General features: G+C 39.0%; 1 protein-coding gene across 2 annotated transcripts in view; it reads left to right on the plus strand.

Annotated features, from left to right (window-relative positions):
* Window positions 1-8,011, plus strand: part of PRKCI (protein kinase C iota) — an 83,554-nt gene extending 75,543 nt beyond the window's left edge. For both annotated transcript variants that reach the window (NM_002740.6, XM_047448575.1), the window contains 2 exons: window positions 1,029-1,144; window positions 5,074-8,011. In NM_002740.6, the coding sequence (NP_002731.4) occupies window positions 1,029-1,144; window positions 5,074-5,161 (204 nt within the window). In that variant the 3' untranslated portion in view covers window positions 5,162-8,011. The remainder of the gene's footprint in view (window positions 1-1,028; window positions 1,145-5,073) is intronic.
* Window positions 8,012-10,646: the final 2,635 nt, after the last annotated feature.

Genomic DNA, 10,646 nt, shown 5'->3' on the forward strand with positions numbered 1-10,646 from the left:
CTGGGTTCAAGCAATTCTGCCTCAGCTTCCTGAGTAGCTGGGATTACAGGCACACGCCACCACGCCCAGCTAATTTTTGTATTTTTAGTAGAGACGGGGTTTCATCATGTTGGCCAGGCTGGTCTTGAACTCTTGACCTCAAGTGATCCACCCGCCTCAGCCTCCCAAAGTGCTGGGATTCCAGGGGTGAGCCACCATGCCCAGCCAAAAAATTGAATATTAATGTAATAAAGCAGGTTGTAATGTTATTAAGGCCCATATCAATGTTTATACTTGTTTTTATTTTTTTAGGAGAAACAGTCTCAGTCCGTTGCCCAGGCTGTAGTGTAGCTCACGACAGCCTTGATTGAACTCCTGAGCTTAAGAGATCCTCCTGTGTAACCTCCCAAGTAGCTGGGACTACAGGCATAAGCCATGGTACCCAGCTAATTTTCAATTTTTTTTTTTTTTTTTTTTGAGATGGTGTCTTGCTCTGTCTCCCAGGCTGGAGTGTAGTGGCACAATCTCAGCTCACTGCAACCTTCGCCACCTGGGTTCAAGCGATTTCTCCTGTCTCAGCCTCCAGAGTAGCTGGGATTACAGGTGTGTGCCACCACACCTGGCTAATTTCGGTATTTTTAGTAGAGACGGGGTTTAGCTATGTTGGCCAGGCTGGTCTTGAATCCCTGACCTCAGGTGATCTGCGCACCTTGGCCTCCCAAAGTGATGGGATTACAGGCGTGAGCCACTGCACCCAGCCAATTTTTAATTTTTTTATAGAGATGGGATCTTGCTATGTTGTCTGGGCTGGTCTTGAACTCCTGGCCTCAAGTGATCCTCCCATCTCAACCTACCAAGCGGTTGGGATTACAGGCGTGAGCCGCCATGCCCAGCTCATATTTGTAAATTATGTTCATCATTGCTAATATCATTGAACCATGCTTCAGGACTCACTTTAATAAGGTAAACAATGAGTGCAGAGGAGAACTGTAGAGGTGGAGTTTTTCTAAGAATACAGACTTGAGCTGTCATCCAGTATGTCTTTTCAGATGGAGCAAAAACAGGTGGTACCTCCCTTTAAACCAAATATTTCTGGGGAATTTGGTTTGGACAACTTTGATTCTCAGTTTACTAATGAACCTGTCCAGCTCACTCCAGATGACGAGTAAGTAATTCTGTACACTGAAATTTTTTTTTAAGTTCTTTGGAAATCCCATTTTTAGTGACTATGCAATGTTTCATTATCAGATTATACTATAATTTTTTTATTTTCTATTTTATTTCATTTTATTTTATTTTGAGATGGAGTCTCGCTCTGTTGCCCAGGCTGGAGTGCAGTGGTGCAATCTCGGCTCACTGCAACCTCTGCCTCCCAGGTTCAAATGATTCTCCTGCCTCAGATACCCTGAGTAGCTGGTACTACAGGCGCGTGCCGCCACGCCCAGCTAATTTTTGTATTTTTAGTAAGGACAGAGTTTGCCATGTTGGCCAGGCTGATCTTGAACTCCAGACCTCAGGTGATCCACCCACCTTGGCCTCTTAAAGTGCTGGGATTACAGGCGTGAGCCACTGTGCCCGGCCTATACTATAATTTATACAACCATTCAGTTACTGGTATTTGTATCTACTGTACCATTATAAGTTTTAATAGTAACTGTCATTTTCTCCTTTGCTTTATAGTGCATTATCTTATTTTCACAACAACTTTGTAATCTAGTTACTGTCATCTTCGTTTTACAGATGAGGAAACCAAGGCTCAGAGAGGTTAAGCAAAGTTACACAGCTATCAGGTGGCAGAGTCAGGATTCAAACCCAAATCTGACTGACTAAGGCCTGTGCTCTTTCTACCACGCTGCACTGTTTCCCATTTGACAAGGACTGTCTTTGAGTTCCTGAGTATTGCCTTAAGATAGATTCCTAGAAAGAGAATTAGGTCAGAGGGTATTAACATTTTAAAGCTCTTGTATTGCCAAATTGCTTTTTTTAAGAAATTACATTGAGTTATTAAATCCAGCCATCAGTGATCTGGTATATTTTTTGTGCTTATACTTCATCTTTTAAACATGTAGTTTGGAATAATTGGGAGATATTTTGATTATTTACCTGTTGTTACAGATTCATTCTCTCTAATCTCAGGGAGGCCCTTATTGTTTGGCAGTCATTTCACTTCTATCTCATTTCTTACCACATTTCTCCCAGCACCTGCTCCAAACAGTCTCTTCATTTCAGAAGCCTTCAGTTCTACTCCTTTTTCCATCACTGTTAATGGATTAACCTTGTCTTAATTTGATGCAAGGACTGATAACCTCTCTGACGTGACCTTGCCTCCTTTGCAGCTGTCCCCAGACCACCTTGCATCTCAGAATTGCTTTCTAACTCTTTTCATCATTTTCTTATTCCCTACTCTTGGAAGACTCTCCTTTACAAGGGGTGTCCCTGCTATTTTCCTAGACCTGTTTCCTTAGTTTTCTCCAAGATTTCATTTTGTCAGTTATCTTTTTATTAGACCTTCTTTATTTTTTTCTAGCTTGTTTCCCTCTGTGTAAGCATGCTCAGATACTCTGATTTTTCCCCCTAACTCATGGCCCCTCTTTGAACAACCACGTTTTTCCTCATTTTCATTTCATCTTAAAGCCTCAAAAAAAAAAAAGTTAATAGATGTTCATGGTCAAAGAAAAATAAATACACAGCACCTCTAATCAAACTTCTTCAGACTAGTCAACATTGATTGTCTTGAATTTTTTTTTTTTTTTTTTTTACTGTCAACACTTCAACCCCTTACAATCGAACCTGTCCTCCAGCTTTTGAAGGTTGAATCAATTTCTTAATTTCTAAATTGTAAAGCATTTTGGGGTCAGTCCTCCTCTCCCTTGATTAATGTAAAGCATTTGGTACTCATGGCTTTGCCTTGGGTAGCACTGCCTATTCTGGTTCTGTTTCATCTCTGTGACTACTTTCCTCTCATGTGTTTTCCCTGTCCCCTTGAGACCAGGATGCTCCATGGTTCTGTTCATGACAGCCTTCTTTTTGCTATATGCAGTTTGTACCTTGGAGATTTCAGCCAGCCCTGTAGCATAGATACCAGCTAATTAAATGGCTCTCAGTTAAATGGCAAATGGTTATTGAGCAAAAGGTGTTATGGTAAATACTAGACATTCAAAGACAATCAAGACAGTCTGATCTCCCCAAAAGCGTGCTGTCTACTAGAGGAGAAAGATGTGTACCAAGTCATTATTTCTGACAGCATTGTGTATTAGAAGGAACACTGGATTTAATCAAAAGATAGGAGTTTGAATCCCGATGCCACCTCTTACCAACTGGGTAACCTTGGATAGGAATTGCATAACTTCTCTGAGCCTGTTCTCAAATTGCCTACCTCATAAGGTTGCTGTGAAGAATAAATGCATGATGGTTTCTGAAGCACTTATCCCCTGCCGTTAGATCTCCTGAGCTGCATTTCTGTTTAACACGGCCCCCAGTTTGTCAGCCAAGCAGCTCAAATATATGAAGTCTAAAATGAAAGTAATGACCCTTTATGATCTCTTTCTATTGTTCTCAATCAGTTCCTTTTTTTTTAGTTACCTAATTCTGCTCACGGTGTGTCCCTGTTGTTCAGATTCCAGATGTCAGTGATTGTGGACTCCTCCTTTTTCTTAACAGATTACATAATACCTGCAGCTGCCAAGTCTTTGTCTGTGTTTTCATTATTTCATCATTTACATCAGATCTTTCTTTTCTCTTCCCGTTGACACACCCTAGTTCAGGCCTCATTCAAGTCATACCCAGAGTATTGTATCAGCCTCCTAATTGATCTTTACTCCTTCACTTTGCAACCTATTCTGTATGCCTTGTGAAGTACCACTCCAATTCTTGAACCCCTTTAATTAGAAACCTTCAGTAACTCCTTCATTGCCTATCAGGTAACATCTATCCTCTTGGCTAGCATTTAAGGCCTCCCCACATCTGCTCCAGCCTGACTTTCTAGCGATACCTCTCACCATAATACAAACAGTGTTCTGATCAGTCTTAGCTACTCACCATTCCCTAGTAGTATTATTGTCTCTGCTTCTGCCTGTTCATTCCTGTGTATCCCGCCTTCATTTTTACCTATTGAAATTTTCCCATCTTTCAGAGCCACCTCAGATGCAACCAGATCTTTGATGGATCAAGGTGAAACTCCTTAGTGTAAACATCACTGGCCTCTTTGATTTAGCCATTATTTTTCTTCAGCATCATCTAACACACTTCTATTCCTGTGCTCCACCCTAATTACTTGCATTTCCCAAGACCTACCACAGTCTTTCATCATTCCATTCATTAAGTGTTTGCAGAATGAATACTGCCTTCCTTGATTTCTCCAACTAGAAGTCACACCTTTCTTTAGAACCATGGTTAGAACAGGACTTAGCTTATTGTGTATAAAATTTAACAAGTACTGCTTTCTCTTCCAGTAGGAATTACCTCCCTTCCTTGAAGGAAGGGACTGTATCCTCTGTAACTTTGTGCTTCTTAGTATGGCATAATACATTTATGTATTAAATATTTGATAGCACTACTCACTGTATATTAAAGTAGAAGCCCAGTGTAACAAAATGCCAACCTCTCCCCTCTCTGTGACCCATGATCTCCCTGCGGTGTTCTCTCCTCATTCCAGGTCTCTCAGTGTACTTGTTCCTATTGCCTTTTCCTTTTGGCTAACTTCTTCTGGGCTACACTATCTAACATCTGGCTGTTGAGGTGACTACTAAATTGAATGCTAATTCAAACCTGGATGTTCACCTGTAACTAGGAATGTTGTTCTGGTCAAAAGTTAAGATTAACTGGAATGGTGACAACTGGTGTCTTTTTTATTCGCAGTCCTCAGTTTTGAACTCCTTTTTGGCTCTAAACTTGCTTGTGGGATTATCGGGGTTTTTTAAATTTTCAGTACTCCATTCTTGATTCGTCTAGAAAATCTGGGGGATTAATCTAAAAATTTATAGATTTCCTTTCAGTACAATTAGCCTAATTACTTGATTTTTAATCTTATTTTACCATTTAAAGGTTGAAGAAATCTTGATTATGATGAAAATAAATTTATTTTTCTTTCAACAGTGACATTGTGAGGAAGATTGATCAGTCTGAATTTGAAGGTTTTGAGTATATCAATCCTCTTTTGATGTCTGCAGAAGAATGTGTCTGATCCTCATTTTTCAACCATGTATTCTACTCATGTTGCCATTTAATGCATGGATAAACTTGCTGCAAGCCTGGATACAATTAACCATTTTATATTTGCCACCTACAAAAAAACACCCAATATCTTCTCTTGTAGACTATATGAATCAATTATTACATCTGTTTTACTATGAAAAAAAAATTAATACTACTAGCTTCCAGACAATCATGTCAAAATTTAGTTGAACTGGTTTTTCAGTTTTTAAAAGGCCTACAGATGAGTAATGAAGTTATCTTTTTTGTTTAAAAAAAAAAAAAACACTGCATTAAAAAAGTATCTGTTGCATTAAGGCACATAGTGGGATTACATCATAAACCTCCCATAATTTTTGTCATTCTGTGTTAAATCATTTCAGGGTTTAATTTTGAAATAAAAGATTAATATAAAATGCAACAACTTTTTATATTACCTATTAGTTTTGGAGTTCTTTATGTTTAAAAATTCAGGTGTAAATTTTATTGCCTTGGATAAATAAATTATTGATCTTTTTTAAGGCAGCAGTTATTAAATTGGTAATAGAAGATGCTGCTTGCTTAGAATTGGGAAATTCGGCTGGGTGCAGTGACTCAATGCCTGTGATCCCAGTACTTTGGGAGGTTGAGGCGGGCAGATCACTTGAGGTCAGGAGTTTGAGATTGGCCTGGTCAACATGGTGAAATCCTGTCTCTACTAAAAATACAAAAATTAGCTGGGCATGGTGGCACATACCTGTAATCCCAGCTACTCGGGAGGCTGAAACAGGAGAATCGCTTGAACCCAGGAGATGGAGTTGGCAGTGAGCCAAGATTAGCCTGGGCAACAGTGAGTGAGACTCGGTCTCAAACAAAAACCAAATTGGGAAATTCTTCTTGAGTTAAAAAAGACACTTTTTATTATGAATCAGATTCCAAATCATTAACTATTTTTGCAAAACTGGCACAAGTGGTTTTTCTTTTTAAGTATATTAACAGGGTAGCTCCTGAGCCTTTCCCTTTATTGGAAACTTTAACTGCAGTGTTAATATATACACTGCAAAAGACCAAGGATGCAGTTGAATGGAAAATTACTCAGTGTATAGAAAGGAAAAAAACCAGAAATTTAAAATAGATACAGAAAAGTACACTGGTAATATTTTTATTTCCTATTGGAGAGTGAATCCCCACAGTTGCTTTTTGTGACTTGATTCAAATGAGGCACTCATTATTGTTACCAAACTTGTAAAAGCATTCCATGTATTCAGTGGAGGCAGAATGTATAATATTTTTTCCTTATAATTTAGCATACAGGAAAAGTATTTATTTTTTAAGTAGGGTATCTTAATTATGCTCATTTCTTCCCCTAAACCACATTATCTATATGATTGGACCCTTTAGTGAAATCAGAAAAATAAAGTAGGCATGAATAAATGTTCAGGACACACACATACACTCACACACATCACAGTATCAGCTCTTTCAGTGAGTTTTTATTAACTAGATAACACATGTAATACATAGTAGAATACATTTCAGAGGCAGAGTTCCTCGGATTATTTTTTATGGATATTAGTGTTCAGCAGCTTATTATTTAAAGGGGTGCCAAATATAGCATCCTTCTGTTGTTTATTTTAAATATATTTTTAATGAAAAGGGACTTAAAAAGTAAACATGATTATCTAAATTACTTAAAATTTTTTAATCTTAGTAAAAATTTTAGGAAAGTTATCTAGTTTAAATTTCAAATGTTTTAAAATTTGTAGGCATTTAATAAATTATCTTTTTTTGGAGGGGTGGATGCTGCATTTCATTGGAAATGTCATTTTTCCAAAGTTTCTAGCTATATACTCTCTTTCCTTCAAATAACATAAGTCTGAAAGCAATGAAAACGTCAAAGGAAAATGTTTATATACATCCACATGTTTATTTAATATGTTTCTCTTAACACCTGAAACTTGTTTTAAAACAAAAAGCAGTATTCACTTCAAATCATAAACTTAGAATTCTGTATCTCATGTCAGAAATATGTTTATGGCCTTGCTTTTAAGTGGTGCTGTTTCCCATAGGGCATTAGTTCTCAGATTTTGGAATGTGAAATAATCACCTAGGAAGTTGGTTTAAAATGCACACTAGTGAGCCCACCTTAGACTTCTTTTGGGGCCTTCGACCTCACTTTGAGAAATACCTTCTTCAGGTTATTCTTTATGTTTGTCCTGTGGTTAAATATTAGAGTATTCATGATAAAACATTTTGAGAAGGGGTAAGCAGTGAGTTATTACCCACAATTTAAAGCAAATTTTGAATGAATCTTTAAGTTAGGTATCTACCTTCCCACCAGCCCCCCAAAAAACCTCTCAGTAGTTTCTTTCAGTGTACAAAATGATGAGCATTTTTCTATGATGAGGTTTTAACCATTATTCAGGGTGGTCTTTTGTTTTTAAATCTTTTTTTAACTAATAAGATTTACGGTGTGTATTTTATACAGAAATGCATTATAAATGTTTTTAATTGTGTTCTGTTTTTTGCAGTCTTTAAGTGCCATGCCAATTGTTCTTATATTCTATAGAAGTTCGCTCAAAATACTCAACAGGGGAATAGGCAGCGGACAGTCAGAATGGTTGGAATTTTGGCTTTCTAAGAAAAACTTTATTTTGCATAAGCATGTGGTCAGATCATTTTGTGCATATGCAGCCTGGATTGGATGTTAAGTAAATGCTTGTTCAGTGCCGGTACATTTACTTAAATCTGTTTTTATTTTTGTCATGTAGAATACTACTGTGGTCATCATAATGTAATCTATTTCTGTACCTTTTTTTTTTTTTTTTACTTTGAAGTCTTTAAATAAAATGTATAATACCCATTGAGAGTGGATCATTTTTCATATGTAGTATGTCAGAAATTTGTATAAGAACAAAGATGCATCAAAATTTGTTCAAGAAAAAGTGAAAATTTCAGAGTTTGGAATTTTGCTGTACTTAAAGCACCATTCTGGTAGAACTGATGCTGTCGTATTTACATTTAATAATGTTACATTTAGCTGGACATAGTGGCTCACACAGCACTTTGGGAGACTGAGGTGGGAGGATCACTTGACCCTAGGAGTTTGAGTTCAGCCTGGGCAATATAGTGAGACCCCATCTCTACATACAGAAAAATAAGAAATTAGCCAGGCATGCCGGCAAAGTGCCTATAGTCCCAGGAGGCTGAGGTGGGAAGACTGCTTGAGCCCAGGAGGTTGTGGCTGCAGTGAACTATGATCATGCCACTGCACTCCAGCTTGGGCAACAAAGTGAGACCCTGTCTCTCAAAAAATATTTAATGTTATATTTATTAATGTAGATATTATTAAAAATTAGGAATTAAAATATTCTCCATTGTTTTATTTATTTTAGCAACAGGGTCTCACTCAGTCACCCAGGCTAGAGTGCAGTGGCATGGTCATAGCTCACTAATAACCTTGAACTCATAGGCTCATGGGATCTCCAGCTTGGAGTAGCTGGGACTACAGGCATACACCACAGACACATGGCTACTTTTTTTTTTGGTAGAGATGAGGTCTCGCTATGTTGCCAAGGCTGGTCTCAAACTCCTGGGCTCAAGTGATCCACCCAATTTGGCCTTCCACCACCACACCCAAGCCTCTCCACTATATATATTTTTAACTCATCTTTCCATTCATCTCTTTTAATTGGAAAACAAATTAGTAAGACATCAGCTGATCATAGAATATTTTAACTGGTTTTAAAACTGAAGCAAGGCTGGACACAGTGGCTGACGCCTGTAATCCCTACACTTTGGGAGGCCGAGGCGGGTGGATCACCTGAGGTCAGGAGTTCGAGACCAGCCTGGTCAACATGATGAAACCCCGTCTCTACTAAAAATACAAAAAATTAGGTGGGCACCTGTAATCCCAGCTACTCAGGAGGCTGAGGCAAGAGAAGCTTGAACCTGGGAGGCAAAGATTGCAGTGAGCCGAGATCGCGCCGCTGCACTCCAGCCTGGGCAACAAGAGTGAAACTCTCAAAAAATAAATAGTGGGCGCGCTGGCTGACGCCTGTAATCCCAGCACTTTGGGAAGCCGAGGCGGGTGGATCAGGAGGTCAGGAGATCAAGACCATTCTGGCTAACACAGTGAAACCCTGTCTCTACTAAAAATACAAAAAAATTAGCCGGGTGTGGCGGTGTGCGCCTGTTGTCCCAGCTGCTGGGGAGACTGTGGCAGGAGAATGGCGTGAACCTGGGAGGCAGAGCTTGCAGTGATCCGAGATCGCGCCACTGCACTCCAACCTGGGTGACAGAGCAAGACTGTCTCAATAAATAAATAAGTAATAAATAAAACCGAAGCAAATTTAAAGATTCAGAACAGATTATCTCTTCATGCTTTACAGTAATCTAAAATCGAATATTTCTTCTTCAATTGTAACTAGTGTCCATATTGTAGCTAGTGTTTATATAAACAGTGTGAGTGCCTTTCTTTTTTCTTTTCTGTCTTTTTTTTTTTTTTTTTTTTTTTGGTAGAGGCAGGATCTCACTGTTGTCCAAGCTGGCCTTGAACTCCTCCATCTTTCTGCCTGAGCCTCTCAAAGCACTGGGATTACAGGCTTGAGCCACCATGCCCCATCTCTACTTCTTTTCTTGATTACAGGCATGAGCCACCGCACCCCGCCTTCCCAGATAGGATAAGTATTTTATCCTAATTTCAACTCTTGCTTAAAATGAAGTTCTAGGCAGTATTAAGAAAGTACTTTCCAGGCTATTCCCTGTATCACATCATAAATTTGGTGGTTTTCTGTGAGTGAGTAAATCCTAAAACAGACTCCACAGAGGAACTTGAAGCTTTAGGGAAATTTTTCATTAAGGCATTCCATCACTGGGATAACCAGTTTCTCCCCGAAAGGTACAACCAATCTCCAGTCCTTGAAATTCAACAGCTTGCTTTGTGGACAATGGCTAACAATGAGTCATTTGGTCTATCTGAAGGTCTCCTTTCCTAGATTTGCTCTTGTTTACTCTAGGACTTAAGGATCACTTAAGAACCAGATGGCTGGGTGCAGTGGATGACGCCTGTAATCCCAGCACTTTGGGAGGCCAAAGCGGGTGGATTGCTTGAGACCAGGAGTTCGAGACCAGCCTGGGCAACATAGTGAAACAACCGTCTCTACAATTTGCTGGGCGTGGTGGCATATTCCTGTCATCCCAGCTGCTCGGGAGGCTGAGGTGGGAGGATTGCGTCAGCCCTGGAGGGTGAGGCTGCAGTGAGCCCTCGAGTCTGGGTGACAAAGCAAGACACTTGTCTCAAAAAATAAAAATCTGAATAGTTTATATCCCTAGCTTATTCCAGAATATACTGGAATTTACTGTGCACGATGCTAAATAAGGCTAATAAAAACAACCTCTGCCCTTGATGTTAAACGTAGAAAACAGACATACTGAGATGTTCATCTCCACAATGAATAGTCCAGTGACAAAAGCCAAATAAATGCATGAAAATATAC

Source organism: Homo sapiens, chromosome 3 (assembly GCF_000001405.40).
Source record: "Homo sapiens chromosome 3, GRCh38.p14 Primary Assembly".
Classification (NCBI taxonomy): Eukaryota; Metazoa; Chordata; class Mammalia; order Primates; family Hominidae; genus Homo; species Homo sapiens.